Source organism: Homo sapiens, chromosome 7, assembly GCF_000001405.40.
Source record: "Homo sapiens chromosome 7, GRCh38.p14 Primary Assembly".
NCBI classification, from domain to species: Eukaryota; Metazoa; Chordata; class Mammalia; order Primates; family Hominidae; genus Homo; species Homo sapiens.
The window spans coordinates 51,497,569-51,519,653 of record NC_000007.14 but is presented as its reverse complement, the minus strand read 5'-3'; the positions used below and the strand labels follow the sequence as shown (position 1 = coordinate 51,519,653).

Below are 22,085 nucleotides of genomic sequence, written 5' to 3'. Positions count from 1 at the left end.
CTCACTGTAACCTCCGCCTCCCAGGTTCAAACAATTCTTCTGCCTCCCAAGTAGCTGGGATTACAGGCATTCACCACAATGCCCAGCTAATCTTTGTATTTTTAGTAGAGATGGGGTTTCACCATGTTGGCTAGGCTGGTCTTGAACTCCTGACCTCAGGTGATCTACCCACCTTGGCCTCCCAAAGTGCTGGGATTACAGGCATGAGCCACTGGGCCCATCCGAGAACCTCCATCCAGTGTTTTAAATCCACAGCTCAAAGCCACCATGCCCAAAAAGGGCCTGCACAGGTGTTCTTTGTGACTTTGCCCAGCAAGAGGGAAAAACAGTAAAAATGAAGACATTCTTTCTATTATTATTTCTCCACAGTTGCTTTTTAAACTAATGCCCTGTCAGCCACATAGAGGTGACATTCAAAACTGAAGTCAGTGCTAGGGAGTGATCTATATGTATATGAAGCCGTTTTCCTGTTGTTGGTTAAAATGAAATCTGTAATACCCTTTCTTGTATCATTATTGCTCTTCTAAATGTGTACCCAGAGGCTATTCTGTGATGGCCACCTACAAAATTTAGAGCAAATGTGTTTCTGTAGCTGTCACAATTATTCAAATGTAAGAGAAATGTACACTTTCCTGAAAGATTAAATTTGAAGTAGTTTTGTTTTAGTATTCAAAATTCACCTTTGAATGGCTATAAAAGATACAAGTCTTTCCTTTCCCTAATGTCTAAGAGAAGTATGAAACTCTTTAATGCCTATCATGATTAGCTTTCTCTGCAGGTTGCCAGGATACGCTGGGAGTGTGTGCTTTACTGCCAGTGGTAAATGACCGTGTCCACCAATACTTGAGATTTAATATGCAGAGCTAGAGATGGCATAAGAAAGACGACGACTCTGTCATTTTTCTGCATCCTTCCTACTGATGTGACTGCCAATGTGGGACTGGAGTTAGAGGACAGTGAGATTAGTTTCAAGCACTTTTAAGGAGCATGTAAACTGTTTCTTTATAAGAGGATATGATTATTAACATAAATCTCAGAATAAATGATGTAGACCCTTCAAAAAGCACAAGATTTGAAGTAACAAGTAAAACTCTAGTACGAATCAGAAAACACATACTAGCAAAAAAAAAAAATGACTTATTGTAAACATAACTTATCCTAGCCGGGTTTCCAAAACCTAGACTAGAACTTGGGAACAAGTGAGAATTAAGTCCCTTCTGGTTCTGGTATCTACTGGATGCTGAAACCTCTCTCCAACACCCCTGAGCCCTGCCTTCATCCTCTGTAAGACAGACATTTAAATTTTGTGTAAAAGGCATGTGTTGAGAACTAGAAATAAAACAATAAATGGCCATCTATCATTAAAGAAATTATAGATCACAGAGATAAACATAAATTCAAACATAAATTTAATAAATACTAAGTCAAATCTTGTTGTAGGCATTGGAATACATGAGGGGACAAAATGAAGGTCTTATGAAGCTCATAGATGAATGCAATACAGGATGAGCAATGGGAAAGGCTCCAGAAGACCAGAGGATGGGCCCTGAAATGAGACTGGGAGCTGGAGATAGCCAGGCCATTTCTTCCTTTAATACATTGTACCATGCCTGAGTGCCTCATATATGTCCGAAATTCTGCCAAGTACCAGTGATACAGTGAGGAGTAAGAAAGGCCCTGTTTCTGCCTTCTGGAATTTAAATTCCAGTTGAGAATACAGACAATTCAACAAGCAATTAAAACAAAGTACGATCACAATTAACTTTAGTTCTCATGTGAGAAGTCATGATTATGATAATTAAATTACATGACGAAGTGCCTAGCACAGAGTTGGCACTCAAAAAATGCTTGGTATTTTTACAAACTAAACAGTTTACTTGTATGCAGAGAGAAGTTATAAACAATAGTACATTGTAATGATTTCAGGAGCAAAGAAGGTTAACACAGGAAGTTTTGATGGATCATATAACCTTGAATTAAGTACTAGGTCCTTGTTCCCCATCTCTGTGGACTCCTATTTGTCCAGCCCAGACTAATTTTTCTCTCCTAATTTCACTGTCTAGGAGAGCTCATTAAGAGATTTACCTGATCAGACTAAATGTTTCTTTCCTTAATCCATCTCATTACACTTCCAACACCCCTGGTACTGGCCTAAACATTTGAATTTCATAGCTCCATTAATGCAAATAGAATCTCGTCAAGGTCTAAAGATTCCTAGGAGAGCCGGCATTGAATGTGTTCATTTGAATGCATAAGATAGCAGCATCCCCTTGCATATTTCCCTTGTTTACAATGATTCCTTCAGTCAGAGGTGAGATCATCAGTGCTATGCAAAGTGAATGAATACATTTCAGATTCTCTAAGTGAGTGAATGAACCCAGATCTCTTTATTCAACTTCAGACACATCCAATAAAGTGTTCGTGATAAGATGAAGTAGGCATTGAGCAGCGACCTGTACAGAATTATTAACATTCAAAAGCAATTGATACTTATGACAAAATGAAGAAGAACCATGAAAGACAAAAAAAAAAGAAAGAAAGAAGGAGAGGTCACTGTCAAAGTATGCAACCAGTAAGAAACCGTTGCTGCTCTCTCAGAGGACCAGGAGAAAACCTGACTGGAAGACCAAATGTGAATTTGAAGCCTTACCTCAGTTCTACCAGCTAAGAGACATTGATGAAGTCAATAAACTGTCTTTGCCTACCTTCTCCATCTGAAAACAGGGATAATAATCTTCACCTCAGAGCTGCACTGAGGACTCAGACAACAGCAGAATAGAGGAATGATTTACATAGTACTTGGAAAATAGATAATGTACAAAGAACCAGAGATACAATAGGGATTAATTTCTTCAAAAGTCTATGTATACACACTTAAACACTCACACAAACACATACAAGGAATCAGGAAAGAGTTGATTTCTTTCTTATTCAAACTAAAATAAGAGATTTTCTAAAGGCTAAAAAACGCCCAACTCATTATTTGGCTATTATGAGATTGCTATCAGAATTTAAAAAGGATAGTACAAGAGAATATAATTAGAAATCACTCTCATTAAGGAAAATAAGCAATATTATATAAAAATACCTAGAAATTATTTTCCACAGGGTACTAAGAATGCATAATGACCAAGTAGGACTTTTCTGAAAAACACAAAGATGTTGCAACCTCAAAAATCAATTTTTTTCTTTTCTTTTCTTTTTTCTTTTTCTTTCTTTTTTTTTTTTTTTGAGACAGCCTCACTCTGTTGCCCAGGCTGGAGTGCAGTAGCACGATCTCAGCTCACTGCAACCACCACCTCCTGGGTTCAAGAAATTCTCCTGCCTCCGCCTCCCAAGTAGCTGGGATTACAAGCATGCGCCAACATACCTGGCTAATTTTTGCATTTTTAGTAGAGACGGGGTTTCACCATTTGAGCCAGGGTGGTCTTGAACTCCTGATCTTAAGTGATCTGCCCACCTCAGCTTCCCAAAGTTCTGTGATTACAGGCATGAGCAACCACGCCTGGCCAGAAATCAATTTTAAATAATTTAAAATAATTTTAATAATTAAAATAGTAAATCAATTTTCATAGAACAATAAAAAAATGACCATTTTGAAATAGTAAAATTGAATATTTATGATTAAAAATACACTTAGCAAGCTGGAATAAAAGGGATTTTCATACTCTGATAAACAATAGCTTACAGCAATCCAGAGCAAACATGATAACTAATGCAGAAACAAAACAAGAAACAAAAACAAATTACCACCTCCTTTTAACATTGTACTGAAGATCCTAGCCAGTGCCACAAGAAAAATTTCTTTAAAAATTAGGAAAAATGAAATAAATAAAAGTCTCTGTTCAAACAATATATTGCAAATAGTATGGCATTTCCAATAGTGTCAGTAATGATTTTATTAAAACTTTTTTATTACAAAATAAAACTGCGAGGAGAGACATCAGCAAGATGGCTGGCTAGAGGTGTGTAATGTTCACCCCTACAACAAAAAAAAGGACCAGAACAACAACAACAACAATAAACTACATTTCAACTAGAGTGCCTAAAGAAGACACTGGAATACAGCAAAGGATGACAGAAACCCTGTGAAGCATGGAAACTAGAGTGGCCCCATAAAGAGAGGAGTGATGTTTTCTGCCTCTGCAAAACCATATTCCCAGCCAGGATCAGCTCAGAGCCAGCAGGGACTTCTCACTGTGGGAGAAAGGTAAGCAAGGGATTCCCAGAAGCCCCCATTAGCACTACAGACTCCTGCAGTCCTTGCTGCAGGAGAGTTCACAATTCTCACGGGCCCTGAGTCTAGCTTACAGGTCTGCCTGGAGTCCACATGGCTGCATTGCTCTAAAGAAGGAACCCACGTGAACCAAGCTGCTTCAGAATAGCACTTCATGAACCGAACTGCTTCAAAACAGCACCATCTTGAGATGGAAGTCACTACAAGACTGCATTCTGCTGCAGGGGCCATCTGGAGGCAGGATGGGCCCTGCTGTTACTCCACCATGCTCACACAACTGGCTGCCACACCACAAACCTGGCTACTCAAAGCCTAGACCCAGCAGACCAGCCATGTCACTAGCACCCAAGCCCAAGTGGATCTCTGCAACCCAAAGAACAGGAAATTCTTCACAGCAGGGAGGCTGCCCCTGTGACTAGCAGAATCACCATATTGTGTACCTCCTTAGGGACTGATGCCTCCTCAGTGAACTCACTCCCAATACTGCCAACCCTGCAACTGGCAGAACCACTGTGCTTTGTGCTTGCCCTCCAAGGCCTGAGGACCAGCTCACCCAGCAGCACCACAACCAGCAAAGCCATGCCACTGGCTCCACAAATACTTACAGCCTAAGCCACTGAGGCACTCAGAGAGACTGCTGATACTGATTACAGCTGAAGAAATTATGTGAAGACTACAATAATGCACCTACCTAGAATCAAAGCCAAAGTATACTACCCAACCAACATTCAAGGACCCATCTACAGAAAAAAAGTCTTTCCTTACAAAAGCTGCTCCACAAAATTGGAAGAGTCAACTGTCCCACCGAGATGCAAAGATATCAGTATAAGAACACAAGAAACATGAAAAAGCATGACACCTTCAAAGGAAAACAATAATTGTCCAGTAACAGACCCTCTCAAAAAAGAAAATCTGTGAAATGCCTGACAAGAAATGAAAAATAATGCTCTTAAGAAAACTCAATGAAATATAATACATATAAAAAGCTCAAAAAATCAGAAAAGCAACTCGTGACTTTTAATAAGAAATTTGACAAAGATGAATATTACAAAAAATAAACCAAACAAAAATCTTGGGGCTGAAGAATTCAATGAGTGGAATTAAAAAATATAACTGAGTGTTTCAACAACAGACTACATCAAGCAAAATGAAGAATTTTTGAACTTGAAGTTTTTTTGTTGTTTTTTTTTTTTATTTCAGAGGGAGTTTCCCTCTTGTCGCCCAGGATGTAGTGCAATGGTACGATTTTGGCTCACTGTAACCTCCACCTCCTGGGTTCAAGTGATTCTCCTGCCTTAGCCTCCAGAGTAGCTGGGATTACAGGCGCCCACCACCACACCCGTTAATTTTTGTATTTTTAGTAGAGACAGGGTTTCACCATATTGGCCAGGCTGGTCCTCCTGACCTCAGGTGATCCGCCCACCTTGGCCTCCCAAAGTGCTGGGATTACAGGCGTGAGCCACCACACCTGGCTAGGTCTTTTGAAACAACTTAATCAGACAAGAAATAAGAAAAAAAAGAATAAAGAAAGTCTATGGGACTGATGGGGCACCATAAAGTAAACAAATGTTTGCATTATGGGACTATTAGAGAAGAAGCAAGAAAAAAAACATATATGACAAACACATAGTAAACATTATACTGATCAGAGAAAAACAGAAAGCTTTTGTTCTAAGATCTGGAACAAGACAAGGATGCTCACTGTTACCATTTCCACTCAACATAGTACTGGAAGTTCTAGCCAGATGGATCTGGTAAGAGAAAGAAATAAAAGGCCTCCAGATTGAAAAAGAGAAAGTCAAATTGTCTCTCTCTGCAGATGACATGATTATATACATAGAAAACCCTAAGGTCTACACACACACACACACACACACACACACACAAACTGTTAGTACTAATAAACTGTAAAGTTGCAGGATACAAAATAAACATACAAAAATCAGTAGTGTTTCTATATGCCAATAGCAAGCTGTTTGAAAAAGACATCAAGAAAGCAATTCCAGTTACAATAACTACAAATGATAAAATACTGAGGAATAAATTTAGCTGAGAAGGTAAAAGATCTTCACAATAAAAGCTATAAAACATTGATAAAATAAATTGAGGAGCACACAAATAAATGGAATGATATTTACATTTGTGGATTGAAAGAATTAACATTGTTTAAATGTTCACATTACACAAAGCAATTGACAGATTGAATGAAATCTGTATGAAAATATCAATGACATTCTTAACAGAAATAGAAGAAGACAATCCTAAAATATATTTGGAACCTGAAACATTCCTGAAAGCCAAAGCAATCTTCAGCAAAAAGAACAAAGCTGGAAGCATCACACTACCAGACCTCAAAATTTATGACAAAGATGTAGTAAACAAAATAACATGGTATTAGCATAAAAGTAGACACATAGGCCAACAGTACCTAATAAAAACCCAGAAATAAATCCATGCACTTACACTCGATTGTTTTTTACAAAGGCACCAAGAACACATATTGAGGGAAAAAAATAGTCTCTTCAATAAAGGGTGCTGGAAAACCTATATATCCATGTGCAAAAAAAAAACTAGATACCTATCTCTCACCATATGCCAAAATGAATTCAAAATGGATTAAAAATGTAAATGTAAGCCTCAAAATTATAAAATTACTAGAAGAAAACATAGGGGAGGCCGGGCACAGTGGTTCACGCCTGCAATCCCAGCACTTTGGGAGGCCGAGGCATGTGGATCATCTGAGGTCAGGAGTTCAAGACCAGCCTGACCAACATGGTGAAACCCCCTCTCTACTAAAAATATGCAAATTAGCCAGGCGTGGTGGCTCACGCCTGTAATCCCAGCTACTTGGGAGGCTGAGGCAGGAGAATTGCTTGAACCCGGGAGGTGGAGGCTGCAGTGAGATGAGATTGTGCCACTGCACTCCAGCCTAGGTGACACAGTAAGACTCCATCTCAAAAAAAAAAAAAAAGAGAAAGAAAGAAAAGAAAAAGAAAACATAGGGGAAATGCTTCCTAACATTGATCTGTGCATGAACCATTTGGATAGGAGCTCAAAAGCATGAGCAGCAAAAGCAAATACAGACAAATGAATTACATCAAACTAAAATGCTTTTTTACAACAAAGGAAGTAACAAAGTGAAAAGACAACCTACAGCTTAGGAGGAAATATTTGCAAACAGTGCATCTGACAAGGGGTCAATATCCAGAATAATAAGGCACTCAAACAATGCAATAACAAAAAAGCAATAATCCAATTAAAAAATGGTCAAAAGATTGAAATAGATTTTTCTCAACATAAGACATACAAAGAGGAGGAGACAGAGCAAGAGGACCAAATAGAAGCCTCCACCAATCATCCTCACCACAAGAACACCAAATTTGACAACTATCTACACACAAAAAAGCACCTTCATAAGAACTAAAAACCAGGTAAGCAATCACAGAACCTAGTTTTAACCTTGTATCACTAAAAGAGGCACTGAAGAGGGTAGGAAACAGTCTTGCATTGCTGACACCACCCCTCCCTCATCCCCCAACAGCGGCTACATGGTACATAGAAAGAATCTGTGAAATTGGGGGACGGAGAGTGCAGCAATTGTGTGGCATTGCATTGGAATGCAGTGCTGCAAACAGCAGGCAAAACACAGCCAACACCCATGGAGGAAGCATTTAGACCAGCCTTAGCTAGAGGAGAATCACCCATCCCAGTGGTTGGAACTTGAGTTTCAGCAAGCCTTCCCACTTTGGACTAATGTACTTTGGGGTCCTAAATAAATTTTGAAAGGCAGTCTAAGCCAAAAGGACTGCAAATCCTAAGCAAGTTCTGGTGCTGTGCTGAACTTGCAACCAGTGGACATGGGGAGCACATGACCTAGTGAAACACCAGCCAGGGTGGCTAAGGGAGTGACTTCCCCCAACCCCAAGCAACACATCTCACAGTTCCTAAAGAAGCTCGTTCCTTCCGATTGAGGGGAGGAAAGGAGAAAGAAAAGAATACTTTGTTTTGCAAAGTGAATACTATTTGAGCCACAGTAGGATAGGGTACCAGGCAGATTCATGGAGCCCCATTTCCAGGCTCTAATACCCAGATGACATTTCTAGACACACTCTGGGCCGGAAGGGAACCTGCTGCCTTGAAGGGAAGGACTTAGCACTGGCGAATTCATCACCTGCTGACTAAAGAGCCCTTGGGCCTTGAGTAATCCACAGCAGTATCCAGGTAGTACATGCTATGGGCCTTGGGTAAGACTCTGGGACATGCTGGCTTAGGTTGTGACCCAGGATATTCACAACTATGATGGCTATGAGAGACCCCTTCTATTTGAAAAAAGGAGAGGGAAAATAAAGGGGACTTTGTCTTGCAGCTTAGGTACCAGCTCAGCCACAGTGTAGAAGAGTACCAAGCAGGCTCTTAGGGTCTCTGATTCCAGGCCTTGGCTCTTGGACAGCATTTCTGGACCTTCCCTGGGCCATAAGGAAACCCACTTTCTTGAATAATAAAAATCCAGGCCTGGCAGCATTCACAAGCTGACTGAAGAGACTTTGAGCCTTAAGTGAACAGCAGCGACAGTCTGACAGTACTCTTCCTAGGCCTGTGGTGGTGGCCATGGGGATAGGCCCCTCTGCCTGTGTAAAGGGGAGGGAAGAGTGGGAAGGACTGTGTCTCATGATTTGAGTGCCAACTCAGCCTCTGCCAATCTAGATTCTAAGGTTTCTAAGGTATATTTCTAAGGTTTTTGACTCTAGTACCTGGCTCCCAGGTGGCATCTCCTAATCCACCTGGGGCCTGGGGGAACTCACCACCCTAAATGGAAGGAAGCAAACATGGCTGGCTTTACCACCTGCTTAAGATCTTGTAGAGCCCCAAGGTCTTGAGTAAACATAGGTGGTAGCCAGGTAGTAATTTGAACATACCTTGAGCAAGACCCAGTGCTGTGCTGGCTTAAACCTGACCCAGTGCAATTCCAGTGATGGTGGCCACAGGGGTTCTTGTGTCGTCTTACCCCAAGCTCCAGGTGGCTCAGCACAGAAGGAGAGACTTCATTTGTTTGGGAGAAAGTAAAGGAAGAGAACAGGCAGAGACTGGTAATCCAGAAAATTTTTCTAGATCTTATCTGAGATCACCAATATAGTACCTCTGTGAATCTGCAAGATTCACAGCATGACTGGGTCTTGCATGCCCCTTAATGCAGATATGGCTTAGATCACAGCACCCAAGTCCTTTCAAACACCTGCAAAGCCTTCCAAACAAGAACAGGTGCAAATAAGCCCAGACTCTGACGACTACAATAAATACCTAATTCGTCAATGCCCAGACACTGACAAATATCAACAAGCATCGGTACCATCCAGGAAAACATGACCTTACCAAAAGAACTAAGTAAGGCACCAGGAACCAATACTGGAGAAAGAGAGATACATATGTGATTGTCAGACAGAGAATTCAAAATGGCTATGTTAAGGAAACTCAAACAAGTTCAAGATAACACAAAGAGTTCTCTGAATTCTAGCAGATAAATTTAACAAAGAGATTGGAACAATTAAAAAGAATCAAGCAGAAGTTCTGCAGTTAAAGAATGCAATTGGCATACTGAAAAATCTTTTGAAAGCAGAGTCTTTAAAAATCGGAGTCTTTTAAAAGCAGAATTGATTAAGCAAAAGAAAGAATTAGTGAGTTTGAAGACAGGCTATTAGAAAATACAGTCAAGAGGAGACAAGAGAAAAAATAAAATAAAATGAAGGACACCTACAAGGTCTAGAAAATAGCCTCAAAAGGGCAAATCTAAAAGGTTTTGGCCTATAAGAGGAGGTAGAGAGAGAGATAGGGGTAGAAAGTTTTTTCAAAGGGATAATAACAAAGAACTTTCCAAACCTAAAGAAAGATATCAATCCAAGTACAAGAAGGTTGTAGAACACTAAGCAGATTTAAGCCAAAGAAGACTACCTCAAGGCATTTAATAATCAAACTCCCAAAGGCCAAAGATAAAGAAAGGATTCTAAAAGCAGCAAGAGAGAAGAAACAAATAACATTCAATGGACTACAATATGTTTAGAAGCAGACTTTTCAGTGGAAACCTTACAGACAAGAAGAGTGGCATAACATATTTAAAGTGCTGAAGGAAAAACCTTGTACCCTAGAATAGTATATCTGGTGAAATATCCTTCAAACATGAAGGAGAAATGAAGACTTTATAGGCAAACAAAAGCTGAAGAATTTCATCAACACTGAACCTGACCCACAAGAAATGTTAAAGGGAGTACTTCGATCAAAAAGAAAAGAAACTTAATGAGCTGTAAGAAATCATCTGAAAGTATAAAAGTCACTGGTAATAGCGAGTACACAGAACAACACAGAATATCATAACACAGCAAGTGTGGTGTATAAACTGCTATTATCTTATGTAGGAAGACTAAAAGATGAACCACTCAAAAGTAGTAACGACAACAATTTTTAAAGACATAGTACAATAAGACATAAAGAGAAACAATAAAAAGATAAAAAGCAGTGGGATAAAGTTGAGGTGTAGAGTTTTCATTAGGTTTTTTTTTGGTTGTTTTTTAGTTTGTTTATGCAAACAGTGTTAACTTGTCAGCTTAAAATAATGGGTTATGGGATAATATTTGCAAGACACATGGTAATCTCAAATCAAAAAACCTACAATAGGTACATACACACAAAAAAGTGAGAAATTAAATTATACCATTGGAGAAAATCACCTTCAGTAAGACAGAAAGGAAGGAAAGAAGAAAAAAAGATCTTAAAACAACCAGAAAACAAATTTCAAAATGGCAGGAGTAAGTCCTTATCAGTTACAACATTGAATGTAAGTGTACTAAACTCTCCATTCAAAAGACATAGACTGGCTGAATAAATTTAAAAACCAAGACCCAATAATGTGTTGCATACAAAAAAACACACTTTACCTATAAAGACACATGTAGACTGAAAATAAAGGAATGGCAAAAGATATTCCATTCAAACAGAAACCAAAAAAGAGTAGAAGTAACTATACTTACATAAAAAAATAGATTTTAAGACAAAAACTATGAAAAGAGATAAAGAAAGTCATTATATAATGATACAAGGGTCAATTCAGCAAGAGGATATAACAGTTTAAATCTATATGCACCCAACATTGGAGCACTCAGATATATGAAGCAAATATTATTAGACTAGAAAAGAGAGATATACCCTAATACAATAATAGCTGACAACTTCAATAACCCACTTTCTACATTAGACAGATCTTCCAGACAGAAAATCAATAAAGAAACTTTGGATTTAAGCTTTACTGTAGACCAAATGGATCTAATAGAGAGTTACAGAACATTTCATCCAACAGCTGCAAACTATACATTCTTCTCCTTAGCATACAGATCATTCTCAAAGATAGACCATATGTTAGGCTCAAAAGCAAGTCTTAAAACATAAAAAGATCAAAATAATATCAAGTAACTTCTATGACCACAATGAAATGAAACTAGAAATCAGTATCAAGAGGAATTTTGGAAACTACACAAGCAGATAGAAATCAAATAATATGTTCATGAATGACTAGTGGATCAATGAAGAGATTAAGAAGGAAATAGAAAACTTTCTTGAAACAAACAGTAATAACATACCAAAATCTATAGGATTCAGCAAAAGCAGTACTAACAGGGAAGTTTATAGCTATAAGTGCCTACATCAAAAAATAAGAAAAACTTCAAATAAACAACAAAATGATGCATCTAAAAGAATTTAACAAGCAAGAGAAAACCAAATTCAAAATTAGTAGAAAACAATAAATAATAAAGATCAGAGCAGAAATAAATGAAATTGAAAAAAGAAATCAATATAAAAGACCAATGAAATAAAAAGTTTGATTTTAAAAAGATAAATAAAATTGACAAATCTTTAGCCAGGCTAAGCTAAATGGGATATCTCATTTACCCTGATTATTATATATGTTTATTATGTATTATGTATTATATTTATTATTATATGTATTACATATATTTATAGGGTATATGGGATATTTTTATATCAATGTAATTATTATACATTTTATAATTATGCATTCTATGCCTGTATCAAAATATGTCATATCCATATACCCTATAAATATATATACCTACTATGTACCCACAGAAATTAAACATTTTTTAAATTATAAATAAAATCAGTTAAATTAACTTTAAATATTTAAGAAAAGAAGATATACAAACAGCCAACAGGTACATGAAAAAATATTCATCACTAATCATTAGAGAAATGAAAATCAAAACCACAATTAGAATGGTTATTACTAAAAAGATAAAAAAAAACTTTGGGAGGCTAATGTGGGCAGATCACTTGAAGTCAGGAGTTCAAGACCAACCTGGCCAATATAGTGAAATCCCATCTCCACATTTATACAAAAGTTAGCTGGGTGTGGTGGCACATGCCTGTAATCCCAGTTACTCAGGAGGCTGAGTCAGGAGAATTGCTTGAACATGAAAGGCAGAGGTTGCAGTGAGCAGAGACTGAGCCACTGCTCTCCAGCTTGGGCAACAGAGCAAGACTCCATCTCAAAAAATAATAATAATAATAATAAAGATAAAATAAAATAAAAATAAAAAGACAAAACATAAACATTGGTACGGATGTGGAAAAATTGATAACCTTACACACTGTTGGAGCAATGTAAATTAGTACTGCCATCATAAAAAACAGTCTGAACATTTCTCAAAATATTAAAAATAGATTTACTACATGATTCAGCAATTTCACTGCTGATCATTTATCTAAAGAAAATGAAATCGGTATGTAAAAAAAGATGTCTGCACTCTCATATTTACCACAGCACGATTAACAATAGCCAAGATGTGGAGTCAACCTAATTGTTCATCACTGGACAAATGGATAAAGAAAATGCATTATGTATACACAAGGGAATACTACTCAGCCATAAAAGAGAATAAAATTCTGTTATTTGTGGCAACATGAATGAACCTGGAGAACATTATGCTAAGTGAAATAAGCCAGGCACAGAAAAACAAAAACCACATGATCTCCCCAACTTGTGGAATCTATAAAAGCTAATCTCATAGAAGTACAGAGTAGAATACTGGTTACCAGAGACCTGGGAGTGTAGGGGGAAGCAGAGGATGGAGAAAGATTGATCAATGAGTACAAAATTACAGTTAACATGCGATGAATAACTTCTGATGTTCTGTATTACTGTAGGGTAACGATAGTAAACAATATTACAGTGTATATTTCAAAATATCTAGAAGAGAGGATTCTGAATGTTCTTGCCACAAATAAATAATAAATGTTTGAGGTGATGAATATGCTAAATATAATAATTTCATCATTACACAATGTATACATATATCAAAACATCATTGTGTACTCCACAAATTTGTACAATTACTATGTGTCAGTTAAAAACAACATTTATTTAATAAATAAAATATCCTTGGATGTAAGATTTACATAAAAATAGCAGCAGTATCCCTGTACAGAAAACAATAATTAAACATAACAAAATTGTAAAATACCAATAATTTCACAATAGCAACAGGAAGCATAAATCATTTGGAATAAATGTTTTTAAAGATGTTCAGATATTTCATTTTTAAAATTGCAAATCATTTTTGAATAAAAAATAAAAACCTGTACAAATGTAGATATATCTTTATAGCCATCAATATAATTATAGAGATAGACATAGATACAGACATAGACACACATAGAATAGAGGTGGGTACAGATATAGACAGATATTCATATAGATATTATTAGTGAAAACACTGAATATAATGAAGAAATAAAATATTTCCCCAATTTATCTATAAATTAATTGCAATTGTGGTCGTAATCCAATGAAGTAATTTTTGGAATTTGACCAGCTGAAATTTATAAGGAGTAAAGAGCCAGGATTACTGAGACAATTTAGACGAATAAGCACAATAAGAAAGTAGTATTTTTCTTAGACGATATTGTCTTAGCCTGTTTGTGTTGCTGTAATAAAATACCTTAGACTAGATAATTTATAAACAAAATTTTACATTCTGACAGTTCTGGAGGCTGTGAAGTCCAAGATCAAGGAGCCAACAGATTTGGTGTCTAATGAGTGCTTCCTGCTTCAAAGATGATGCCTTGTTGCTGCATCCGCCCATGGCAGAAAGCAGAAGGACCAAACGCCTGTCTGGTTCTCTCCAGCCTTTTTATAAGGCACTAATCCCATTCAAGATTGGGGAGCCCTAATCACTTCCTAAAAGCCCCACCGTTTAATACTGTTGCATTGGGGATTAAGTTTCATCATGAATTTTGAAAACATTCAAATATTCAAACTGTAAGGAGAAAAAAATGAAAAATATCTTTAAGACTTCAAGTACATAAAGATTTCTTAAACAAGACACAGAAAACACAAACCATTTTTTTAAAATGGTAAATGTGACTATTTTAAATTTTAAAACTTCTGTTTAGCAAAAGACAAATATGAGCAGTTTTTAAAAGCCACAAACAGGTTTAAAAAATGTTTAGATATATATATAAGTGGAATAACTAGTATGATGGATAGATAAATCACTATATAAAATTATATCAAGAAGAAAAACTGAATAAAAAATCGAACAAATGATATTAATATATAATAACAAAAGAAGAGTGCCAAATAGTAAATAAATATGAAAAGACACTCAAATTCAGGCAATGTAAATTGAAAGAATAAGGTACTATTTCAGCCAGGCACAGTGACTCATGCCTGTAAACCCAGTATTTTGGGAGGCTGAGGCGGGCAGATCCCCTGAGGTCAGGAGTTTGAGACCAGCCTGGCCAACATGATGAAACCCTGTCTCTACTAAAAATACAAAAATTAGCCAGGAGTGGTGGCGCGGGCCTGTAATGCCAGCTACTGGAGAGGCTGTGATTATTTTGAGCCAATTTTGAGTGATCTAACAAAGTTGAATATGCATAGGACTTCTACTTTATCATACCACTTCTGATGCTTCTGATGCTAAAATACCTTTCACTGATATGCATAAGGCAATATAAAGAATGATATGTAGCCTTTAAAAAATAGAAATAATCCAAATATCTCTCAATAATGGACTGGATAAATTCATTTTTGTCCATTCATACAATAAAATACTATACAGAAATTACATTGAATAAAATAGGGCTATGGTTACCAACATGCATAAATCACAAAAACATAATGAGCAAAAAAGAACAAGTTGCAGAAGCATATGTACAATATGCGTATTATTCATCCTAGAAAATATGTAAAACTATAATGCGTATTGTTCATGGATACATATATATGAAGCAATGCAATATATATGCGCATCAGAAAGTTTGGCTCTGCTATGGCCAATTAGCTCCTACTGGAGAAAAATGTTCTGATGATAACAGCCATATAATCTTTGAAAAAATATTTAAAAACAACTAACTAGAGGGACTAGATATTAAATAAAAGCAGGCGGAATCTAGAGTAGACACTTGAAAAAAAATGGAAAAGGGTCATTGCTTTTGTTTTTAGAGTTTTTAGCCTCAGGTAGGCTCAAGACTGTGCCATGAAATGTGGCTAACTCTCCAAAGGAAGGAAAAGCTACAGTCTTGCTAGCTAAAAGAACCACAGGGTATGGTTTCAGGCAACTATAGCTAATAGAAAAAATGAGAGTGGAAATCTTGGAAAAGAAAAATCCAGAGAGGGAAAACTTTATATCTAACAACTATTTGAACGAATGCTGATATGGTTTGGATCTGTGTTCCCAACAAATCTCATGTTGAATTGTAATCCCCAGTGTTAAATGTAGGGCCTGGTGGGAGGTGATGGGATCATGGTGGTGGAATTCTCATGAATGGGTTAGCACCATCCCCTCGGTGCAATTCTCTTGATAGTGACTGGGTATGATATCCGGTTGTTGAAAATTGTGTAGCGCCTCCCCACTCTCTCTCTCCCTCCTGTTCCAGCCATGTGAAGATGCCTGTTCCTGCTTTGCCTTCTGCCATGATTGAAAGTTTCCTGAGGCCTCCCCAGAAGCCAAGCAGATGCCAGCATCATGCTTCCTGCACAGCCTGTGAATCATGAGCCCATTAAACCTCTTTTGTTTACAAATTGCCCAGCCTCAGGTATTTCTTTATAGCAATGTGAGAACGGACTAATACAACTGCTGACTTCTCCTCAGAGAAATCATGAAAGTCAAAAGACAGTGCAACAACTCTTTTAAAGAGCTGATATTAGCAACCAAAGGGGGATATCATGAGGCCTTAGACTGAATTTGGAATAAAACCCAAAGCAAATCTGATCCTGTAAGTATTTAGAAAAATACTCTTTTTCTAAAGAACACAACAGTGAGGGTCTCTCACTTCTTCTGCTAGTATTACATGGTCAAGGAAAAACTAACAAACACTCAAAACAAAACAAAAAGGAAGGACAAAATCAAGCACAAATGTCTACTTTGTTTTTAAAAAGGGTAGAGATTAGGAAGATATAAGAACAAGTAAAAAATGACAGATTGGGAATATTGATTAAAAGGAGAATCTACACTACAGAAGGAGAGAAATGTACTGTAATCACTAATGAAAGTAAATGAGTTCTTAGTAAACTAAGGAAGAAAAAAAAAATGCATGCCAGCCAGAATTCTATGTGAAGTGGAAAAAAAAAAGAGAAAGAGAGAGACTGACAAATGGATAGAGGGTGGAGGGATATTAAAGGTAGTGGAGTGAAATGTTAATTGAGGAAAACAGGTGCTGGACATAAAAATGTGTACTTCTAACTTTCCCATATGTTTGAATTTCTTCATAATAGAATTTTTAAAATAAAACAATGATAGAAATAGAGATCGAAATTCTAGAGTGTTTACACTCTAACTACATAAATGAAAGCAGCAAGAACAAAACTGCTTTTACAATATTGTGGAGATTGTCTATAGGACTTCCCAGGGATTCCCTTCCCAGAGTGACTTTATTATTAGCCCAATAAAAATATTCTTGTCCATTGTCCCTAAGTGTGTTTTAAGCATTATGTACACCTGCGGTGTGGCTAAATTTTCAAACTGAATACAATTTTGTTCCAGTAATTACCTCTCCATGTTTCTGACCTTTTGGTGACTTAGCCCAGTAAAGGTCACCATCTGGAGCTGAGAAAAGAACCTGCCACATAGGAAGCTGCTAAGCAAATAACAAGTGAATAGGAGAGTGAGAGCAAGAATGATGATTTAACCATTCTACCATGGAAATCAGGAGGCAGAGAAAGGATTGCAACACGGAGTTAAATATAGTGCTCAAATCATAAGAATCACATGAAACCAACTTTCTTTTTTGGCCACAGACCTCAGTAATTATAGATCCTATAGTGGAGACAGTGGTATCTCAGGGACCTAAAAGCTACAATGTTCTTCATTTATCTGCACCTCCCTAGGTTTACGTAATTTCTCTTCTCTCTTGGTTTATTGTTTTTCCTTGCACACTTCTGATCCTTCCCTTAGCTCTTCCTAGGAATTCTCTTCTCCTCCACTTTCTCCCTAACATTTCTTATGCGCCCATCATCCACCTCCCCTCTCCCTTCTCCTCTCTCCTCTGCCTAGTACACTGCCTTCCCTCACCCTCCTTTTAACCTCCTCTGTTGTGCATCCTCTCCTTTTCACCTTGCTCATGAAATAATAATGAGAATGACAAATTGAAAATAGTGAAGGTCTCTAAGGAATTCACAATTCCGCCGAGTACACAGATATACGAGCAGGTTTGAAATACTGATGACTGAACCTTCATGTGAGCTTGACAGAAACCTTCTATTAACCAAACACAGAGAAAGGGCAGGAACCCGCAAGGTAATTTTTAATTACAGGTACTTTATCAAACTCCTTTTTTGAGATGACTCATTCTATGCCGGAGGGAATTAAATGAAAAAGGAAGGCAAAGCACAGTCACACATTAACCCCAGATTTGTTTCAGAAAAACTAGTCAGAGCTGTACATTTATAATCTGCTGGTACCAATGCTAACCATGAATGAGTGGCTGCGCAGTCTCTGGGGCCCAAACTAAAGAAACAAAAAGTAAGGATGCACTTAATATGAAGCATGCTATGAGCCTGGTGGGAAATGTGATGTCTTCTAGATATTGCTCATGTTGTATGTGGGAATCTGGACTATAGGGAGAGTCAACTACAAACCTCAACCACAGGTTTCCCTAAAGGGATTCCTCTGTCTGCAAGAATTTCTGTCCCAGTCAATGTGAAATGATGGGTACTGCTTTGAGAGAGATGATTAGAGGTTGAAGGGTGGGTTAGTGTGAACCTCAATGCTAGCCGCCACCACCACCATTACCAAGGAGGAGGTGGTAACTTGGAAGACAATGTAGAAAAGTGGTTAAGAGCAAAGACAATAGGGACAGGAGAAAAGCCAAATTTAGGGGGAGTGCTGCCTTATCCTTTAGCAGCCAGATAATCTCAGGCTACTTATTCTGTTTGTTCATTCATTTATTTTTAGCAAAGGTGTACATATAAATGTGTATGTGTATATGAGTACATCCATATATGTGCATGTACATACATGAATATGTGTGTGCACGTGCATATGTCAAACAGGTTCCTGTCCATTATCACTGAAGACCAAAGGTAAACACTTCAATTCCTTTAACAGATTATGCTAATATTTATATTTTCTGGTATTGTTTGCAACCAAATTTCTGGGGTTTCTTTCAGTGCATATACTGCTATTTTTTGGTTTCTGTCTCAAATATTGTTACTGGATTCCACTAAGCAGATGAGGATTTAAATCTCTAACATTCCACCCCAGAAACCCTAACATAGCGTACCTTCCCCTAGTCCCCTAGTACAGTTATATCAGAAGCTGTAGTTAGCTCTGTATTTGTTGTTCACTTCCCTATGAGTACATCATTAGTCACAGCTGAGCCACGAAGTATTATTACATTTATTTTCCGGGGTCAACATTGCATTTTCCCTAGAGTAAGTAATCCCCTCTCCCAAACTTCCCCCTTCTTTCTCGCCTTCTCTCTCAGGGAAGAAAGAAGTTTTTTAATTTTTGTCTACCTTTAAGGCATCCCCAAAATCTCACACATGAGGATAAGTCCCCTCTCAATACACCCAAGCACATCAAATCCTCCTGGATGTGACAAAGCTACCGTCCTAGGGCTTCCTTCACCACCGTGCTGAGGATTTCCTTTCCGTGGGGTGCCTGCTATGAAGTGAATGTTTGCGTCCTCCCTAAAATATGTATATTGAACCCTGACCCATCAGTGTGGCTGTATTTGAAGTAAGGAAACAGTTAATGTTTGATGAGGTCATAAGGGTGAAATTTGACCCTATAGGTGCAATGTCCATAGAAGAGGACACCAGTGACCACAAGCCAGAGGGAGAGCCCTCACCATGAGCTCACCCTCCTTGATTTCAATCTGAAATTTCCAACCTGGAGAATGGTGAAAAGGTAAATTGTTGTTGTGTCAGCCACCCAGTCTAAGGTACTTTGTTACAGCAGCCCTGGCAGATGAATACACCCTCATCTATTTCTCCACAGCCTATGCCTTCCTCACTACTGCTCACACCCCTAATAATGGGGTGGAACACGTTGGCTAGGAGCTTCTTGAGAAGAGAGGAAAGCTAAAATGTTGAGATTTATAGACCTGGAAATATCCTTAATCTACTCCCACACTTGGTTGAACATCAGATGGGGTATGAAACTCTAATTTTTAAGTCACTTTCCCTGAGAACATTGATGACATTTCTCATTGTTCCTAGTGCATATTTCTGCTAGCTTCCCAGGCCATTCTGGAGGAGTATGGTCTCATTTCTACTTTGACTCTGTGAAAGTAACCTGCATGTCTGTTAGTGAGAACATTAATGTGTGTGTGTCTGGAGGTTTTTACAATCATTTTGTCCCCATTATTCTGAAATTTCACCATTTGCTACTTAGTAAAGATCTATTTTTATCCACTTTGCTGGACATTCAAGCAGAGTATTCAACCTAGATACTCATGTATTTCAGCTTGGGAAATTTATTGAGTCATCTTTAAAATGAGTAGCTTTCTATTTTCTCTGCCCTTCCTTTTTGGAACCTTATTATTTGGATGTTGGATCTCCAGGACTGACACTCTTATTGTTTTTATTTTTTCTTTCCTGTGTGATATCTCTGTCCTTTAGTTCTACTTTTGGGGACAAAAGTCTATCTTCAATTCTATTGTCTAATTCTTATATTTAATTTTTCATTGTGATACATTTTAATTTCTGGAAGTTTTGTTTGGGTTCTCTGTTTTTTTAATAACCTCCTGTTCATGTGTCATAGATGGCATGTGCTCTCTTATCTGTCTGAGGATTTTAAATACTTGTTTAAGTTTTCCATTTCCTGCATGTTTTCTGTATACTCCAAATTAGGTTCATTTGTTTTGTTATATTTGCTATTTATCTGTTTTTTAAATTTGTCTGTCTTTCAAATTAGAGGTTTACTAAAAATATCTTGACATCTCTGGCTGCCTGCTTATATTTATGGGAGAGGGTAAAAACTTCATTCAAAGCCCCCCTCTGTGAGGGTATAGCCCTCTTTATTCACCAAAGAAAGGCCTGATGTGACCGCTTTAGGAATCACCTTCCTAGCCAGCATCTACAGGATTTTCTCATTGGTTGACCAATTTTTCAGAAGAGGACTTCTCCAATCTTCTCCAGTCCTCTTCCTTATAAATCTGGATTCTAATATTTTTCATAGTCTGGGACCATCACATTGGTCCCTGTAGATTTCCACTTGGTTCTCTGTTGTTCCAGAGCAGTACCTCTCCCATCAGCTGTGCCTGGGGACTCTATTCCCGAATTCCTCTGATTTAGCCTTTACAGCAAAAGTCCAGTGTTCTGCCAAGGTTAGCGAGAGGCAGTTGCTGGGATCCTCAGGGTATGAGTAGGGTTCCAGGAGTTTAAACATCTATTATACATGATTCAGAAAATCATTTCAGCCCCGTCTCTAGCTCTAGTCTTTCAAGTCCTTGTTTCCTCCACAGTCCTGAACTCTGGGTTGTGAAAATGGGCTAGCTTGCTGCTGGGCATCCCCCATCACTGACTCACTTTCCAATGTCTGCAAACTGCTAGGTTTGTTTCCTCTCACCCTTTACTACTACCTTAAAAATGTTACTGCTAAGGCCGGGTGCAGTGGCTCACACCTGTAATCCCAGCACTTTGGGAGGCCAAGGAAGGTGGATCATCTGAGGTCAAGAGTTCGAGACCAGCCTGACCAATATGGAGAAACCCCGTCTCTACTAAAACTACAAAAATTAGCCGGGCTTGGTGACACACGCCTGTAATCCCAGCCACTCAGGAGGCTGAGGCAGGAGAATCTCTTGAACCTGGGAGGCAGAGGTTGCAGTTAGCTGAGATCGCACCATTGCACTCCAGCTTGCGCAATAAGAGCGAAACTTCATCTCAAAAAAATATATATATCTATATCTATATCGATATCTATATCTATATCTATCTATCTATAGATATAGATAGATAGATAGATAGATAGATAGATAGATAGATTACTACTATTGCCTTCTCACCCATACTCTTGGACCATAAGTATATAGCATTTAAAAAGTAATTTACCATCACTGCGGTGATACTTTAGGAGGAAACTGTTAAACACATGGGTTCACTCTCTGTTCTGAAACCACTTCCTAGATATATGCCCTTAGTCAAGTTATTGCTTTACTGTAACTCAGTTTCCTTATTTCTAAAATGGGGATAATAATAGTATTCAACTGTGTAAGTTTATTTTGAGGATTCAGTAGATAATACCTATGAAGAGCTTGAACAGGAAATTACATAACCAGCAGCAGTACCCAGATACTACATCAAGGGACTTACGTGAGCCTCTGAGACTTGCTGGCT

The 22,085-nt window shown here is 37.8% G+C and overlaps 1 annotated feature.

The window, feature by feature from the left end:
* Positions 1,776-1,945: an enhancer, noted in NCBI's record as "experimental_99621 CRE fragment used in MPRA reporter constructs". NCBI's record gives its function as "activates a minimal promoter by MPRAs in K562 erythroleukemia cells, with activity observed for both the introgressed and non-introgressed 7:51585491 variant alleles {active_cell/tissue: K562}" and the evidence as "EXISTENCE:reporter gene assay evidence [ECO:0000049][PMID:34662402]".